Source organism: Homo sapiens, chromosome 7, assembly GCF_000001405.40.
Source record: "Homo sapiens chromosome 7, GRCh38.p14 Primary Assembly".
Classification (NCBI taxonomy): Eukaryota; Metazoa; Chordata; class Mammalia; order Primates; family Hominidae; genus Homo; species Homo sapiens.
The window spans coordinates 133,338,467-133,358,729 of NC_000007.14; the positions used below are offsets into that span (position 1 = coordinate 133,338,467).

Genomic DNA, 20,263 nt, shown 5'->3' on the forward strand with positions numbered 1-20,263 from the left:
CCTGTAGTCCCAGCTACTCGGGAGGCTGAGGCAGGAGAATGGCGTGAACCCGGGAAGCGGAGCTTGCAGTGAGCCGAGATTGCGCCACTGCAGTCCGCAGTCCGACCTGGGCGCCAGAGCGAGACTCCGTCTCAAAAAAAAAAAAAAAAAAAAAAAATTTTTATTTCATTAGTTTTTGGGGAACAGGTGGTATTTGATTACATGTATAAATTTTTTAGTGGTGATTTCTGAGATTTTGGTGCACCCACAGGAGCAGTGTACACGGTACCCAATGGTGTAGTCTTTTTTTTTTTTTTTTTTTTTTCAGACAGAGTTTTGCTCTCGTTGCCCAGGCTGGAGTGCAATGGGGCGATCTCAGCTCACTGCAACCTCTGCTTCCCGGTTCAAGTGATTCTCCTGCCTCAGCCTCCTGAGTATCTGGGATCACAGGCATGCACCACCATGCCTGGCTAATTTTGTATTTTTATTAGGGACTGGGTTTCTCCATGTTGGTCAGGCTGGTCTCGAACTCCAGACCTCAGGTCATCCGCCCTCCTTGCCCTCCCAAAGTGCTGGGATTACAGGCGTGAGCCACTGTGCCCAGCCCATTATATCATTCTTATGCTTTTACATCTTTATAGCTTAGCTCCCACTTATAAGTGAGAACATATGATGTTTGGTTTTCCATTCTTGTGTTACTTCACTTAGAATAATGGATCCCAACTCCATCCAGGTTGCTGTGAATGCCATTATTTTGTTCCTTTTTATGGCTGATTAGTATTCCATGGTTTTGTGTGTGTGTGTGTTGTTGAATAGGGTGTCCTTTCTCTGCTTTATGTTTTTGTTTGCTTTGTCAAAGATCAGTTGGTTGTAAGTATTTGGGTTTATTTCTGGGTTCTCTAGTCTGTTCCATTGGTCAATGTGCCTGTTTTTATATCAGTACCATGCTGTTTTGGTGACTATGGCTTTACAGTATAGTTTGAAATCAGGTAATGTAATGCCTCCAGATTTGTTCTTTTTGTATAGTATTGCTTTGGCTACGTGGGTTCCATTTTTGGTGCCACGTGAATTTTAAGATTGTTTTTTCTAGTTCTGTGAAGAATGATGGTGGTATTTTGATGGGAATTGCATTGAATTTGTAGATCACTTTTGCCATATGGTCATTTTCACAATATTGATTCTGCTTATCCATGAGCGTGGGATGTGTTTCCATTTGTTTGTGTTGCCTATGACTTCTTTCAGCAGTGTTTTGTAGTTTTCCTTGTAGAGGTCTTTCACCTCCTTGGTTAGGTATATTTCTAAGCATTTTATTTTATTTTTGCAGTTATTGTAAAACAGGTTGAGTTCTTGATTTGATTGTCAGCTTGGTCACAGTTGGCATATAGCAGTGCTACTGATTTGTGTACATTGATTTTGTACTCTGAAACTTCACTGAATTTATCAGATATAGGAGCTTTTTGGATGAATCTTTGGGGTTTTCTAGGTATGTGATCATCATATCATTGGTGAACACGGACAGTTTCACTTCCTCTTTACTAATTTGGATGCCCTTTATTTCTTTTTCTTGTCTAATTGCTCTGGCTAGGACTTCCAGGAGTATGTTGAACAGAAGACGTGAAACTGGATATCCTTGTCTTGTTCCAGTTCTCAGGGGGAGTGCTTTCAACTTTTTCCCATTCAGAATTATGTTGGCTGTGGGTTTGTCATAGATGGCTTTTATTACATTAAGGCATTTCCTTTGTATGCTGATTTTGCAGAGAGTTTTAATCATAAAGTGATGCTGGATTTCGTCCAATGTTTTTTCTGCATCTATTGAAATGATCCTGTGATTTTTGTTTTTAATTCTGTTCATGTGGTGTATCACATTTATTGTCTTTTGGATGTTAAACTATCCAAGCATCCCTTCTGTGAAGCCCACTTGATCACGCTGGATTATCTTTTTGATATGCTGTTGGAATTCAGTTAGCTAGTATTTTTCTTTTTTTTTTTTTTTTGAGGATTTTTGTATCTGTGTTCATTGGGGATATTGGTATGTACTTTTCTTTTTCTGTTAGGCCCTTTCCTGGTTTTGGTAATAGGGTGATACTGGCTTCATAGAATGATTTAGGGAGGATTCTCTCTTTTTCTATCTTGTGGATTAGTGTCAATAGGATTGGTACCAATTCTTCTTTGAATGTCTGATAGAATTCAGCTGTGAATCTGTCTAGTCCTGGACTTTTTTTTGTTGGCAATTTTTTAATTACCATTTCAGTCTCACTGCTTGTTATTGGTTTGTTGTGAGTTTTCATTTCTTTCTGGTTTAATCTAGGAGGGTTGTATATTTCCAGGAACTTATCCATCTCCTGTAGGTTTTCTAGTTAATGCTCATAAAGGTGTTCATAGCCTTGAATGATCTTTTGTATTTCTTTGGTATTGGTTGTAATATCTCCCATTTCGTGTCTAATTCAGTTTATTTGGATCTCCTTCTTTTCTTGATTAATCTTGCTAATGGTCTATAAATTTTTTCTATCTTTTCAAAGAACCAGCTTTTTGTTTTATTAATTTTTTTGTATTTTATTTATTTTTGTTGTTGTTTGTTTCAATTTTATTTAGTTCTGCACTGATCTTGGTTGTTTTCTGCAGCTGGGTTTGGGTTTGGTTTGTTCTTGATTCACTGCTTCCTTAAGGTGTGACCTTAGATTGTCTATTTGTGCTCTTTCAGACTTTTTGATGTAGGTGTTCAACGCTATGAAATTTGCTCTTAGCACCACTTTTGCTATATTGCAGAAGTTTTGATAGGTTGTATCACTGTCACTGTTCAGTTCAAAGAATTTTCAGATTTCCATCTTGATTTCCTTGTTGATGCAAAGACCATTCAGGAGCAGGTTATTTAATTTCCATGTATTTGTAGTGTTTTGAGGGTTCCTTTTGGAGTTGATTTCCAGTTTTATTCCACTGTGGTCTGAGAGAGTACTTGATATAATTTCGATTTTCTTAAACTTGTTGAGACTGGTTTTGTGGCCTATCATAAGGTCTGTCTTGGAGAATTTTCCACGTACCAGTGAATAGAATGTATATTCTGCAGTTGTTGGATAGAATGAGAACATAAATATCTGTTATGTCCATTTGTTCTATGGTATGGTTAAGTCCATTGTTTCTTTGTTGAGTTTCTGTCTTGATGACCTGTCTAGTGCTGTCAGTGGAGTATTGAAGTCCACCACTCTTATCGTGTTGCTGTCTATCTCATTTCTTAAGTCTAGAAGTAAATATTTTATAAATTTGGGAGCTCCAGGGTTAGGTATATATAATTTAGGATTGTGGTATTTTCCTGTTGGATTAGTCCTTTTATCATTATCTAATGTCCCTCTTTGTCTGTTTTAGCTGCTGTTGCTTTAAAGTTTGTTTTGTCTGATATAGAAATAGCTATTCTTGCTCACATTTCCTGTCCACATGCATGGAATATTTTTTTCTACCCCTTTACCTTAGATTTATGTGAGTTCTTATGTGTCAGGTGAGTCTCTTGAAGACAGCAGATACTTGGTTGATGAGTTCTTACCCATTCTGCCATTCTGTATCTTTTACGTGGAGCGTTTAGGCCATTTACATTCAACATTAATATTGAGATGTGAGGTACTGTTCTATTCATCATGCTATTTGTTGCCTGAATACCTTGGTTTTTTTTTTTCATTGTGTTATTGTTTTATAGGCCCTGTGAAATTTATGATTTAAGGAGGTTCTGTTTTGTTGTATTTTCAGTATTTGTTCCAAGATTTAGAGCTCCTGTTAGCAGTTCTTGTGGTGGCTTAGTAGTGGCGAATTCTCTTAGCATTTGTTTGTCTGGAAAAGACTGTATCTTTCCTTCATTTATGAAGCTTAGTTTTGCTGGATACGAAATTGTTGGCTGATAATTGTTTTGTTTAAGGAGGCTAAATATAGTACCTCAATCCCTTCCAGCTTGTAGGTTTCTGTTTAGAAATCTCCTGTTAATCTGATAGGTTACCTGATGCTTTTGCCTCACAGCTGTTAAGATTCTTTCCTTTGTCTTGACTTTAGATAACCTAATGACTATATGCCCAAGCGGTGATCTCTTTGCTATGAATTTACTGTGTGTTCTTTGAGCTTCTTTTATTTGGATGTCTAGATCTCTAGCAAGGCCAGGGAAATTTTCCTTGATTATTCCCTCAAGTAAGTTTTCCAAACTTTTAGATTTTTCTTCTTCCTCAGGAACACCAATTAATTTTAGGTTTGGTTGTTTAACGTAATTCCAAATCTCTTGGAAGCTTTGTTCATTTTTTTTTTTGATTCTTTGTCTTTGTCAGATTGGGTTAATTTGAAAGCCTTGTCTTTGAGCTCTGAAGTTCTTTCTTCTACTTGTTTATTTCTATTGTTGAAACTTTCCAGTGTATTTTGCATATCTCTGAGTGTGTCTTTTATTTCCAGAGGTTGTGATTGATTGTTTTTTATTTGTGGTATCTATTTCTCTCAAGATTTTTCCATCCATAGCTTGTATTAATTTTTAAATTTAAGTTGTTTGTCACCTTTTGCTGGTGCCTCCTTGAGTAGCTTAATAATTGACCTTCTGAATTCTTTTTCTGTCAATTCAGTGATTTCTGCTTGGTTTGGATCCATTGCTAGTGAGCTACTGTGATCTTTTGGGGTGTTACAGAACCTTGTTTTGTCATATTACCAGAATTGTTTTTCTGGTTTCTTCTCATTTGGATAGACTATGTCAGAGAAAGGATCTGGGACTCAAGGGCTGCTGTTTAAATTTTTTTTGGCCCCCAGCATGATCCCTTGATGTGGTGCTCTCCCCATTCCCCTATGGTTGGGGCTTCCTGAGAGCTGGACTGCTGTGATTGTTATTGCTCTTCTGGGTCTGGCCACCCAGCAGAGCTACTAGGCTATGGGCTGGTACTTGGGGGTTTCTGCAAAGAGTCTTGGGATGTGATCTGTCTTCAGGTCTCTCAGCTGGTCTCTCAGCCAGCACTTGCTCCAGTTACCACCACCACACCTGGCTAATTTTTGTATTTTTTGTAGAAATGGGGTCTCCCTATGTTGCCTAAGCTGAATTTGACCTCCTGGGCTCAAGCGATCATCCCACCTCAGCCTCCCAATGTGACAGGATTACAGACATGAGCCACGCACTCGACTTAATCTTGTCTTTTAGTTCCGTTTTTTTTTTTTCTGAGTTTCATCACTTTCTTCTCACTCGTTCATGTTTTTTGTCCGTGTCTTTTCTTAGTTTTGGAATTTCTGGCTCAAGGTGGCTTTTCGCATCCCTCATCCTGCCTATTTCTTTATCTGTATTTTATTCTCTATTTTGGTGTCTTGTATTTCCTCAGTGCTTCCTATGAATTATTCATTTGAGCCCCTCTCTTGGGCATTTAATAATTTATTATTTATCTTTGAGATTTTTTTTTTTTTGGTTATCCAGGCTGGAGAGCAGTGGTGCAATCATACCTCTCTGCAGCCTTGAACCCTAGGCTCAAAGGGATCCTGCTGCCTCAGCCTCCCAGATAGCACTACAGACGTGAGCAACCACATTTGGCCAACTTTTTTATTTTTGTTTTTTTGTAGAGATGGGGTCTCACTATGTTGCCCAGAATGGTCTCAAACTCCTGGCTTCAAGAAGTTCTCCTATTTTGGCCTCCCAATATACTGGGATTACAGGCATGAGCCAGAGCACCTGGCCTAATTTTGTCATTTTCTTCCATTTCTTTTCTGAGGGTCATCATTTTCTCTTCACACTTTCCTGTTTTTTGTCCATATCTTTTCTTAGTTTTTGAATTTCTGGCTCAAGGTAGCTTTTCCTATCCCAAATTCTTGTTTGAGTATATTGGTTCCATCTGGAATGTTGCCTTCTAGTTTTCTTGTGCTTCATGGTTGTTTTGTTGAAGGGAATTTACCTCTGTTGCTGTGTGTTGGATATTCTGTCTTTTTAAAATAATACTTCAGTATGAGTCTGTTCATCATTTTTTTGTTTGTTTTTATGATATTGGGGTGTTTTATAGGATTTTTAGCTCATTGGCTCCCTCTTCTGTCACTATAGCAAAGTCCAGATCTTTGTTTTGGTAGCATCGGAAGGTTTGTGGTCTCTGAATTTTAGCTGTCTTGTCATCGGGTAGGATTCCAAATTTTCCCTTTTTTCCTGTTTCTCTTTTAGCCATCCAATAGCCAAAGGGCATTTCTCTCTACTTTTTGTTTCCTTTTTTATTTCCCAGAAGCTACGTGTTTCAAAAACTGGTCAAGATTGTGTCTGCTTTTACATCCCATCCCTATAGTCAGCTCTGTGATCTGTCTAGATACCTTTTTAGTATTTTGAAACTTAGGGTTGACTTTGTCTTTCCTCTGATGGTTTTAGATCAACCTTAAGTTCATCACTAATTCCCTTCTCTCTTTGTTATAGTTTTTCACATTCTACCTTTGTTTGCAATAAGGCCTTCTGGCAGATCAGGGACAGAGGAGGAGCATGAGATATCACTTGCTGGGATTAGGTGTCTTTTTCTTATTTTTATTTACAGTTGTTTTGGATTTTGGTCAGTTCAGTTTTCAAGTGATCCCGAGGACATGGTTTTTGTGTAGTTTTGCTGCTTATTTTTCTTGTCCTCTATTGCTTCTGGAGGAAATATTGAAAGATGGAGACATAAGCAACCACCTTTGTCAGCCTGAGAGTTTCCAAAGCTGAATGTTTTAAAAGTGCATTTTTAACTATTTTTCTTCATTTTGAGTTTTGATGTTACATTTTGTCACATTATCTCATTAAATTTGCACATCTCTGAGCTACACATACTATCTCCATTTCATGAATGAAGAAATCAAGGTCCAGCAAGATTAAATGACTCAAGGGAGATCACACAACCAGAAACTGATAGAGATTCTAATCAACTCTAAAATTGTATGATGCCAAGCTCTTGTTCTTTCCACTACATCTTGCCATCTCCCTGAGTAACTGAACTTAGAAAGCCCATGCATTAATTAAATACTGCAACCTAAAACATTTTAGTGATTATAAATGTAAACTGTCAGTTTATTCATCTGTTCCTTGTCCCTCCTGTTATCTTGCAGTCCTGTTATATTTTTAGTAGCCTCTTCTCCACTGGCTTCTACTCCTTGACCTTCTAAGGTACATTTTCTTTCCTGTAAACGAGATCATGTACATTAAGTGCTATCTCTTGAAAAAAATGATTCAACAGATGTCAATTTTGTTTATTTATTTATTTTCCTAATAGAGGTTTTTACTCTATCTCCCCTTATAGCAGACCTACCATCATTTCCCTCTTGGCCCACTTTCACGTACGGGAGGACCCGTGCACACTCACCTTGCTTTCAAAACTCACTGCCCTCCCTGCGCAAACTCCTCACTTCATGGAAATGATAGCCCCAAGTAGCAGTTGGCAACAACTTTTGGCTCCTCCTTTCTGGAGTGGGTGTTGTATTGTCTGTAGTTTTCTTTAAAGTAATTTAATCTGCACCTTAGGGGTGCTTAGTTAACATTTTTGAAGTACCTTAATCATGAATCTACACTCCAGGGGTAGTTAGTTAACATTTGAAAGACCCTAATCAAAATTCTATACTCCAGAGGCAACCAGTGCCTCAGATATTGCTCTCAACCTGTACCAGTGGGTGCATTAATTAGAATAAAAGATGTAAGAAGTAATTTTTCACGGTGAAGGAAATGCTATTTAAGATATGTAGTTGGCCAGTTTCCTACACAGAGATAAGACATGAGTGGAGGCTGAGGATACAGATTTGGCAAGGGCAACAGTCTTCCAACCTAGGTAGGCCCTTGATTTGGTCCTGTGCTTGCTGCTTTTAGTGGAGGATTTGGTTTGGTTGGCTCACCTGGCCTGTGGAGCGCATTAAGTCTTTATTACCCTGCATGGGCCAAATCCAGCCTGCTTCTGTCTGCTTCTCCATCCAGCGCTCATTGGAACTGTACTCCGGCTCCTCTCCATGTTTGCATTTCTTGTCCACAGAGATGTTATTCTCAATCTTGAGTCAGATGATTTCTTTTTAATTTCTTAATTTACATTTTTAAATTTAATTATATTTTGAGCATATTGGATATGTTAAGAGTGTGAATTTATAGTGCCATTTTGATCAGAAGCACTCACATTATTTTTAAATGGTAACTTTCTTACTATTTTCTACTTGAGAATATTGTCAGTATTCTCAGGCCAGGTTCTCATCTGTGGGGCTTCTAGATAAGTAACTTGTTTGATATTCTAGTGGTCTAATTAGGCTGGGTGATGTTTTTGAACATTCCTTTTTATATTTAATTCTATTCAATAGTGACAGTTCTCATGTGATAGAGGGATAATATTCTTGAATACATGTGATTTAAGTTACGTAGATTGAAATCATATACGTGATTTTTGTGTAATTTGTGTATCATGCGTAGTATAAGGAATGACATCTACCAAGAGTTTCTATAGTAAACATTACTATTGTCCTATATCTTAGTTAACATGTACAAATATAAATGAAATAATGCAGTTTATGAAGTAAAATACTGAAGTATATCACCAGGGCCCTTATTTTCTGGGGTTTGGTGACGTGTATGTGTGGTATGGCATATATTACTGATCTTGTCCCATCAAATATACTGAGCAAAGGAAGCAGTCATGATGAACTGGTGGTCTAGATTGCTTTCTGTACTCACTAGGACACGAAGTAATTTTTTAAATAAAATATTTAACTGTATAAATAGTCTATTTAGCTTTTTTATATGTTATTTTTTAAGTGAGCCATCTATAATATAGGTATACATGTAAGTAGCTGTAGGCTGTGTAATCAAGGATATATAGACGTAAACTATACTTTTTTTTTTTTTTTGTGAGGCAGAGTTTTGCTCTCTTGCCCAGGCTAGAGTGCAGTGGTGCGATCTTGGCTCACTGCAACCTCCGCCTCCTGGGTTCAAGCAATTCTCCTGCCTCAACCTCCCGAGTAGCTGGGACTACAGGCGTGTGCCACCACACCCAGCTAATTTTTGTATTTTTAGTAGAGATGGGGTTTCACCATGTTGGCCAGGATGGTCTCGATCTCTTGACCTCTTGATCCGCCTGCCTCAGCCTCCCAAAGTGCTGGGATTACAGGCGTGAGCCACCACACCCAGCCTGTAAACTATACTTAGTGGAATCATGGAATTGTAGCGAATGAAAGGACCATAGATATTATCTAGTCAATCTTTTCATGAGTCCCAGAGAGTTTTAGCTAAGCCCTCCTTTCATGATTCCATTCTTAGCTTCAATCACAGAGATGATTTATAGCCATTTAGACATACATACCAATATATCCATATCTATACATACAATGTGTGTGTGTGTGTAGGGGGCTGTGATCACAAGCACTTGGGGCCAATAGAATTTTAGTAGAAATAATTGGTTAAAGGGCATTAAAATCTTTTAATATTTAGCATTATCAGTCTGTGAAAGTCTTCGAAACTAGGTTTGAGAAATCTTTACTCATTAAGACCCTCAGAGCAGAAAAATCAAGGGTAAGAGAACTGGGAAAGGAAGTTAAGTATTTCTAATTTTAAAGTGTTCTAAAACCTACACGTTGAGTACATATTGTAGCAATATAGATACTAGGGAATGATTTGGAGTTCAGTAGTTTGGAAATACGTATATTTTGTTATAATTCTGATGTGAGACTTTACTGAATTCCTGTTAAATTATTTTTGTGCAGGGCTTTTTTCATAAAGCACCAATAATTCTACCTGACCTCACAGGGTTTTGTGATATTAGACTAGTCATGGTTGATTATATTATCCTTTTAAATTGCCTTTTAATTTTCAGCTGATGTAAGTGAAATAGATAATATAAATTAATTAATATTGGATCTGTTCAGTGTTTATGCTCTAGGAGATTTCAGGAGACAAACAGAAAGAGAAGGTTCTAAACAAGTGCCGTTTGGGGCTGTGTCATTTTATTATTCATACCTGGCTTATTTGTTGTTCTTTAATGGGCTATCTATCATATTAGTGTGTATGTAAGTGGCTACATGTGACATAATCTCAAGTCTTATTGATTTAAACTGCATTTACCTCATCACTAATCACTCTTGTGGCAGGTAGCTGCAGTGTTCAGGGGGCACTTTGTATGTGTCACGTTTGTGACTCATACGTGCTTTTTTGTGAAGAGCATTTTGTCTCACCTAAATTCCTATTACTTTTTGGTCCTACCTGAAGCTCTGCTTACAATTTTGCGTATTTCTACCCGCAGTCCCCAAACATGCTGAATTTAGTTGGCTTGTTGGCCGCTAAATACTTTTCTCTCCTTGCTGTGGGGTTGGTTTTGCTGGATGGAGTACTTCTCTTTCCTGAAGTATCTAGCTTCTTCATGTGTAAAACAAAACCAGTAACTGAAATGTCAAATTTGGAAATATAAATGACTTTTTTTGATCTGCCTTCAGAGTTGCGTTGTCATCTTTATAAGCTTAAGACTTCCTGGTTTTATTCCAAGTTTTACTAATATTCAAAAAGTTTATTTGTTAAATCCCATATCATCAAATGCACTCCACATTGCAAGTAAAACCAAATGAATCTGGTCATTATACCTCTTTCTACTCATGGATTTCAGGGATCTAATGAGCTTAGTAAGATTTGCATCATGGATAAATAGAGGACTTATTCTTATAAGAATAAAAATTGTGTAAGTGATTATATCATGTATGTAATTAAAATGGTTTTGATTCAGATTTAAATGTTTTTTTTTTTTATTGTGGTAACGTCACATACCATAAAGCCTACCATTTTAACCATTTTGGAATGTACAGTCCTGCAGTGTTAAATACATTGATAGTGTTGTGCAACCATCACCACCATCTATTTCCATTACTCTTTTCATTCTTGTAAAACTGAAACTCTGTACTCATTAAAGACCAATTCCCCATACCCCTCTTCTCCCAGCTCTTGGCAACCACCATTCTACTTTCTGTTTCTATAAATTTGACTAAGTACGGCATATAAGTAGAAACATACAGTATTTGTCTTTCTTTTGACTGAGTTATTTCATTTAGCATAATGTACTCAAGGTTCATCCATGTTGTAGCATGTGTCAGAATTTCCTTCCTTTTTAAAGCTGAATAATATTCCATTGTATGTATATATCACATTTTGCTTATCCATTCGTGTGTTGATGGACTCTTGAGTTGCTTCCACATTTTAGTGATTGTGAATAATGCTGCTATGAAAATGAGTGTACTCTTCAAGACCCTGATATCTCTTCAAGACCCTGCCTGCAATTCTTTAAGTGTATACTCAATTAGAATTGCTGGATATATAGTAATTTCATTTTTAATTTTTTGAGGAACCGCAATATGGGTTTTCATAGTGGCTGTACCATTTTACATTCCCAACAGCAGTGCACAAGCGTTCCAATTTCTCCACATCCTTGCCAACTCTTGCTATTTCCTGTTTTTTTTTGGGGGGGGTGATATTAATAGTAGCCATCCCAATGAGTGTAGGGTGGCATCTCATTTTAGCTTTGATTTGCATTTTCCTAATGATTAGTGATGTTAGGCATCATTTCAAGTGCATATTGGCCATTTGTATATCTTCTTTGAAAAAATGTCTATTCAAGTCCCTTGCACATATTCAAGTTGACTTTTTTGTTGAATTTAGGAGTGCTCTATATATTTTGTATATTAATACCTTATCCGATATGTGATTTTGAATTTTTTGTCCTATTCTGTTGGTTGCCTTTTTACTTTGTTCTTAGTGTCTTTTGGTGCACAAAAATTTTAAAATTTTCATGCAGTCCAATTTGATTTTTTCTTTTATTGCTTGTGTTTTTGGTATCATATCCAAAAAAATCATTACCAAATCCAATGTCATAAAGCTTTTGCCCTGTGTTTTCTTCTGAGAGTTTTATTGTTTTAGGTCTTACATTTAGGACTGTGATCTATTTTGAGTTAATTTTTGTATATGGTGTTAGATAAGGATCCAACTTCATTTTTTGTATGTAGATATTGTTTCCCTGTACAGCATTTGTTGAAAGGCCGTCCTTTCCCCATTGAATGGTCTTGGTATTCTCGCCAAAAATCATTTGACTGTGTATGTGAGGTTTTTTCCCCTAGGGTCTCTTTTCTGTTCCATTGGTCTATATATTTGTCTTTGTGCCAGCACCACAGTGTTTTGATTACTGTAACTTCTAAGTAAGTTTGAAATTAGGAAGTAAGTTTTGAAATGAAGTATGAGTCTTCTAGATTTGTTCTTCTTTTTCAAGATGGTATTGGCTATTCTGGATCCCTTGAGATTCTGTATGAATTTCAGGATGGTCTCTCTCTGCAAAAAATGTCATTGGGATTTTGATGGGGCAGTTGCATTGACTTTGTAAACTGCTTTAGGTATAATAGTATTGGCATCTTAACAGTAGTAAGTCTTCCAGTCCGTGCACATGGGATGCGTTTCCATTCATTTATTTGTTTCCATTAATTATAATTTTTTAATTTAGCAACAATTTCATAGCTTTCATTATATAGCTTATATATATTATAGCTTTCATTATATAAAGCTTTCATTACATAAGTTTTTCATCTTTTTCGTTAATTCCTGATTATTCTTTTTAATGTAAACTGAATTATTTTTATAATTTCCTTTTGAGATTGTTCACTGTTAGTGTATAGAAATGCAATGGACTTGATCATAGTGTATAGTCCTATAAGTATGCTGCTGAATTCAGTTTGTTAGTGTTTTGTTGAGGATTTTTACATCTGTGTTCATAAGTGATATTGGTTTGTAGTTTTATTATACTGCTTTTATCTGGCTTTGGTATCAGGGCAATGCTGGCCTCATAGAATAACTTAGGAAGTTTTATTCCTTTTTCTAGAATTTTTTGGAAAAGTTTGGTTTTCTTTAAATGTTTGGTAGAATTGACCAGTGAAGCCATCAGGTCTAGTGCTTTTCTTTGTTGGAAGATTTTAGACTACTTATTTAATCTCCTTACTAGTTATAGATCTATTTGGATTTTCTATTTCTTTGTGATTTAGTGTTGATAGGTTTTATGTTTCCAGGAAATTGTACATTTCATCTATGTTATATAACTTGGTGTTGTACGATTATTCACAGTACTCTGTTTAATTTATTTCTCTAGAATCAATGGTAATGTAACTTCCATTTATGAATTTAGTCATTTGAGTCGTCTCTATTTTTTTCTTAGTTCACCTGGCTAAAGATTTGTTATTTTTGATGATGTTTTCAAAGAACCAACTTTGATTTAATCAGTTTTTGGTATTGTTTTTCTATTCTCTATTTTATCTCTGCTCTAATCTTTATATTTACTTTTTTCTGCTAGCTTTGGTTAGTTTGTTCTGTTTTCAGATTCCTTAAGCTGTAAAATTAAGCTGTTGTTTTGAGATCTTTTTTGTTTTTTACCGTAAGCATTTATAACTATAAATTTCTCCTTTTTTGCTGTTTTTCCTGCATCCTGTAAATTGTATTTCATATGTTGTGTTTTCATTTTCATTAATCTCTAAGTAATTTTCTAATTTCCTTTGAGGTTTCTTCTTTGATACATTGGTTTTTAAAGAGTGTGTTAATTGACATAAGTTTGTGTATTTTCCCTTTTTAACTTTGTTATTGATTTCTAACTTTATCCCTATTTAGTTAGAGAAGATACTTTGTGTGATACTTTCTACTTAAATCTATTGAGACTTAATTGGCAGCCTAATATATGGTTTGTCCTGGAAAATGTCCCATGTGTACTTGAGAAGAGTGTGTGTGTTGCTGTTTTGGGGTAGAGTGTTCTGTATGTGTCTGTTAGATCTAGTTGGTTGATTGTGTTAAGTCTTCTGTTTCCTTATTTCTGTCTGGTTGTTCTATCAATTATCGAGAGTAGGGTATTGAAGTCTTCAACTGTTGTAGAACTGCGTATTTCTGCCTTCAATTCTGTCAGTTTTTGCTTCATATATTTTGATAGTCATTAGGTGTATAAATGTTTATAATGGTTATATCTTCTTACTGTGTTGAGCCTTTATTAATATATAATGTCCTTCTTTGTCTCTTGTAATCTTTTTTTGATTTAAAGTCTATTTTTTCTGCTCTTGTTTTGCTGCTGTTTTCATGGAATATCTTTTTCCAGCCTTTTACTTTCAGCCTATTTGTGCCTTTGAATCGATTTGTGCCTTTGTAGACAGCATATAATTGGATCATGAATTTTTATTCATTCTACCAGTCTCTGTCTTTTGGTTGGACAGTTTAACCCATTTACATTTAAAATAATTACTGATAAGGAATGACTTATTTCAGACATTTTGCTATTTTTTTCTATATGCATTATTTTTTTTACCCCTCATGTTCTACATTACTGTATTATTTTGTGTTTAGTTGACTTTTTATAGTGAAATGTTTAAATTCCTTTCTCATTTCCCGATGGTATGCATTCTGTAGCATTTTTCTTTGTGCTTACCATAGGAATTACATTTAACATTCTAAAGTTATAACTCTCTAACTTGAATTTATACCAGTTTAACTTCAATAAAATACAAAACCTCCACTCCTTTAATGGCTCTGTCCCTACCACTTTTGGTTGTTGATGTCACAGAATTATATCTTTATACATTGTGTGCTCAAAAACATAAACTAGTAATTCTTTTAAATGCATTAGCCTCTTAAATGATGTAAAAAACAAAATGTGGATTTATAAACCAAAGTTAACAGTAATACTAGCTTTTAGACTAATAATTGTGTTTTAAAAATCTTTTAATATTTTAAATTATGTAGAAAACAATAGTTAGAAATAATTGTCTTGTTGTAACACTACTAATTTTTATAATTGCCTAGACGTTTATCTTTATTGAGATATTTATTTCTTCATATGCCTTCTAGTTACTGTCTAATGTCCTTTCATTTTAACGTGCAGGACTTTATAAAGCATTTCTTGCATGGCAGTCCTGATGGTACTGAAATCCTGTAGCTTTTGTTTACTTGGCAATGTCTTAATTTTTCCCAATCACTTTTGAAGGACAGTTTTGTGTGATACAGAATTCTTGGTTGACAGTTTTTTTATTTGTTTGTTTGTTTGTTTTGGCACTTTGAATTAATCCACTGCCTTCTGGCCTCGGAAATTTCTGATGAGAAATCTGTGGATAATCTTATTGGGGATCCTGTATATGATGAGTAACTTCGCTCACTACTTTCAAGATTCTCTCTTTGTATTTTGAAAATTTGATTTTAATGTGTCATGGTGTAGGTCTCTTTGAGTTCCTCTCACTTGGAGTTTTTTGAGCTTCTTGGATGTTTATATTCATGTATTTCATCAAATTTGAGACACTTTCTTCTATTATTTCTTTAAATATTCTCTGCTCTTTTCTCTCTTTCTTCTCCTTTCAGAGCTCCCACAATGTCTAAATTGTATCCTGTGGGCTGTCTTCACTTCTCTTCAATCTTTTTTCATTCTGTTCTTAGATGATAATTTCCATTGTCCTATCTTGACGTTTGCTGATTTTTTTTCTTCTCCCTGCTCACATCTGCCTTTGAATCCCTCTAGTGCATTTTTCATTCCAAGTATACTTTTCAGCTCAAGAATTTCTTATTCTTTTTATTTTTTTAGTTCTTATATCTCTTTATTGATATTGCCAGTTTGTTTATACATTATTTTCTTGACTTTCTCTTTATTTTTTGTTATTTGAGCATCTTTAAAACAGTTAAAACTTTAAAAAAAACTTTTTAAAAGTTTTTTTTCTTAATATATCTACCATTAAGTCTTTTTCAGGGACAGTTTCTGTTGATTTATTTTTTTTCCTTTGAATGGGCCATATTTGCCTCTCTATTTCTATGCTTTGTGATTTTTTGTTGTTGTTGAAAACTGGGCATTTGAGTTTAATGATGTGGTGACTCCAGAAATCACATTCTCCCTCTTTTCCCGGGTTCTCTGGGTTTTGATGTTGTTATTGTTTTGTTTTATAAATTATTGTAGTCAGTGTCTATCCTAAGGATCAGCCTGGGTGTTAATTTAAGATCTCCTCAAATAAAGCTTTTCTAAGCCTGCACCTTTACATGGGCATGCACAGTCACCTTATAATTTTTTCAATACATGCATTTGTTTTTGAATGTCCTAGTCCTAATGTTTGGCTTTAAAACGGGGAGCAAGAGAAAAATAAAGGCAGTAGGGGAAGGCTACTGGCTGTTTAACTTCCCTGGAATTTACTTCAGCAAGAGTAGGAGGGGCTTGAAAAATTGGAGGAGGTGCAACAACAATTGTCACGTGCCTCTTTGTACCTCTGTGATTAGAGGAAGCAATCAGCGATCAGAGCATAGATTCTTGATACTTGGCAGGCAGGGTTCTTTTTGCCCACCCTGTCTTCCCACCAGGTGTGTGCAAGGTACTCCAGGAACAGGTACAGGGATGTCTGCCACAGTGCTAGGTAGCTACTTTGGTAAGAGCTGTAATTGAAATCGACCACAATTTACCATCCAAGTGTTCCCTTGGAAGTTGCAAGCCTTCCATAGACTCCAGAGTTACAAAATAGTTACATCAGACAGATTCTGCCAGTACAATCGTGTAGGTGGGGAGATTCCTGGTGCCTCCTACTCTGCAGTCTTCCCAGAATCCTCCTTAAGAGCGTTTTATAAGCTGGGAACCCCCAAAATAGGGACTGAGGAGAATGCCCTACAGTGGATTTCACATCATCTGAAGTAGAGGTTTTATGGACTTTGTGTAGCAGTTACAAGAACTCATTCCATATACTGGGATGTTTTCTTTCTTCCCTAGTAGATTTCAGTACCATTCTAGTAGTGCTGAATAACTTAGAATGGCTTGTAGTCTGAGTTTAAATCTACTAAGGAAGAATGTATTCATTCTTTCAGGATATTGCAGATTTTTAAAATCTTGCATTTGTTTTGAGAGATGGAGGACAGAGGTGGATGGGGAAAACTTTTGACTATTAGGCTCCATCTTCAGCTCTGTACTCACTTTTGCTTTTGTATATCTTAATCCAGCCATTTGTAAAATGAGGCAGTTACTTTTAAGTCAGAGATTTGTAACGTCCTGTTTTTTTTGGCAGTTGCGAAACCCGGAATTCCTATGTGAAGTTTTGCATATGTATATTCATACTTTGGAGAGCAAGGCCTGTGGCTTTCAGTAGATAACAGAGATCTCCTATCAGCAGTTCTCCCCTCTCTCCAACTTGCCACAGGGGTTAAAAACTAAAGTTTTGGTTATTTCTTCCATTTCAGTGCCAAATTGTTTGAAAGAATGCTGTATTCTAAAGATCTACAGAGGCTTTTGACATATAACATTACTTCTCAGAAGCCTTTCATGGATTATTAGCAAGATCTGTCTCCTATAGATAATTATGTTGTAGCAGACATATGTTTAAAGAAAAATAGGTTGTTCTTTTGTATTTATGAAATACCTCTTCGTTACCCTATTTCCTCAAAGTCTTGTCTCACTTGTATGTATTGTTTTCCCTTAATCTTTTTAAAAAATTTATTATAATTTTAATTTATTTATCACTCTTCCCCCTGTGTGTATTCATGATGTCTTTTTCTCCAGCGACTTACCACTTTTAACTAACAAATACAAACCTGAGGCTAGGATCCAGCTCTTCAGAATTCTCTTGCAGCGCCACATATGGCATTTTATAAACAGCGAGTGCCTAATAAATGTCATGAGCCAGTGGACTCATGGCAGAAGTAGTAGTCTGTGGAAAACTTCCCATGGTGATTTGTTTACTAATTTTTATTGCATCTGCCTCTTATTACTAACTGATGGGTATGATTTGAGGAATATAAATGTTATTTTGTGACTTTTGGATGGTTACTGTGCAAATATAATTTAATTGAAAAATCCTCTTTAATTCTTTAAGAGAGTAATCAAGGCAGTGATTTCGTTTATTAGACTGCTCTGTTTTGGGGTTTTTGAGTGGAGTCTGTATCTATTATTGTTATTATTTAATTTTTCAGTGAGGGAGATAAATCTGCAGGACATCAAGGAAGATTTAGAATTGGATCCAGAGGAAAACAGCACCCTGTTTATGGGTATCCTCATTAAGGGCTTGGCGAAACTGAAGAAGATCCCAGAAACAGTTAAGGCAATCATAGAGCGCTTGGAGCAGGAGTTGAAGCAAATTGTGAAGAGGTCTACAACCCAGGTGGCAGACAGTGGCTATCAGCGGGGGGAGAACGTTACTGTGGAGAACCAACCAAGGTAGGTGGGAGTGTATTTTGTATTTTTGACAACTCTATTTATTGCACATTTTCTAGGGTGGGGCGTAAGTAACTTACCTTCTGTTGATGTTGTTTTCTTGAACTTAGGATACTATAGCCCATACAGGCCAGGCGCAGTGGCTCACGCCTGTTATCCCAGCACTTTGGGAGGCTGAGGCAGGCAGATCACTTGAGGTCAGAAGTTTGAGACCAGCCTGTACTAGTAGTGAAACCCTGTCTCTACTAAAAATACAGAAATTAGCTGGGCATGGTAGTGCATGCCTGTAATCCCAGCTGTTCTGGAGGCTGAGGCAGGAGAACTGCTTGAACGCAGGAGGCGGAGGTTGCAGTGAGCCGAGATTGCACCATTGCTCTCCGGCCTAGGTGACAGAGCGAGACTCCGTCTTAAAAAATAAAAAGGATACTATAGCCCATACAAACTTTGATTGGTAAAACAGCTTGACTAGGCATAATTCAGCTGTCTGTTTTTTAATGTTGTTGAAAAATTCAAAGCATATTGTCACTCAATGAAAAATATGGACATATTTATAGTAGAGATTGTCGATATTTAAACATTTAAAGAATAAATTGAATCAAATAATGTAGCAGCTATTGTACACATACTAAGTACTCAGCAATGTTCAAGGCAATTTATGTATATTATCTCACTTAATTATCACTACAACTGTATGACCTAGTTATTAGTATCCACATATTGCAGTTAGGAGAACTGGAGCTCAGAGATTGAATAATTAGCAAGCTCTTAGAAAAAGTCTTGGTGTTGAATACTAGTCCATTTGATTCTAAAATCCATGGTCTTTCCTGTGTCTCATGCTTTCTTCTTTAATGTGTAATGATATTTCCAATAGACAAATCAGTCTCAGGAATTTTTAAAACAATAAGATTTGAATTTCATAATTCTTATTTCATATGGAGAGTACGGAAATTGAATTCAGATTCTAACTTTGTGACTATCATATACTAACAGATCATGTGTGACAAACAAGAAGAAATCATAATCTTGTAGATACGTTGTTAAGGAAATATCTACTGTTTATACCTAGGGCTCAAAGTTTTTTTAAAAGAAGATAAAATTAAGGAGAAATAATAACTCATTTAGTATAGAGTTCTCTATAGACTTATTTAAATTTTTTGGAAAAATTAATACTGTATTTCTGTGTTCTTTTGCATATGTAAATAACATTGATTTCAATTATACTTTAACATTTCAAAAATTAATTTCCTTGTAAACTTGATTCAAAAGTACTATGTTTGGTGAATGGAACTACCCTTTATCCTTCTCCTGCCACAGAATGTTTCAAAGTAAATATTTGGCCAGGCACAGTGGCTCATGCCTATAATCCCAGCACTTTGGGAGGCTGAGGTGGGCAGATTGCTTGAGGTCAGGAGTTCGAGAGCAGCCTGGCCAACATAGTGAAACGCCAACTCTACTAAAAATACAAAAATTAGCTGGGCATGGTGGTGCATGCCTGTAGTCCCAGCTACTTGGGAGTCTGAGGCACAAGAATTGCTTGAACCGGGGAGGCGAAGGTTGCAGTGAGCCGAGCACACTACTGCACTCCAGCCTGGTTGACAGAGTGAAACTTCATCTCAAACAAACAAACAAACAAACACCCCAAAAAACCAAAACCAAACAAACAAAAACACCAAAAGTAAATATTTGATGGGTTTTGGAGAACAGACCTGACTTTGTATCCCCACTTTGTGATTTGCAAAAATTAACCTGTCTTACAGTGTTGCTTGCTTTAGATGAGGTTATATGGTTGTGGTGCTTAGTGGAATAGCACCAGTAAGTACTATAACATGCATGCCTGCTTGTATAAAATGCGTGTGTATATGAATATATGTTTATTATCGGTGCCTTCCCCAAATTCCATGTTCTATGATCACTTACATCATGATCCAGAGAAGCTGGAGAATGGTTCTTTGAACTTTTGCCTTTCTTCTTTCTTTGCCTGGCACCTGGATTTTCGTGAAGACCTTTTGACTCCTTACTGATGAATACTCTAAAATTCTGGTTTGCTCTTTGCCTGTTGCTGCAAGTTCCTAGATGAATACAGTGAACTTTCCTAGGGAAATAACATTGCTGTAGTATATATTGGAAATAAAAGGGCATGGATTAATAACTTTTCTGCA

General features: G+C 36.1%; 1 protein-coding gene across 11 annotated transcripts in view; it reads left to right on the forward strand.

The window, feature by feature from the left end:
* The window catches only part of EXOC4 (exocyst complex component 4), an 847,874-nt gene that overhangs the window by 85,389 nt on the left and 742,222 nt on the right, over positions 1–20,263 (forward strand). For all 11 annotated transcript variants that reach the window (XR_007060126.1, XR_007060125.1, XR_007060123.1 and 8 more), the window contains exon 6: positions 17,864–18,107. Coding sequence is in view for 3 of the 11 variants with exons in the window: in NM_021807.4 (NP_068579.3) it covers positions 17,864–18,107 (244 nt within the window). In the remaining 8 variants the exon portion in view is untranslated. The remainder of the gene's footprint in view (positions 1–17,863; positions 18,108–20,263) is intronic.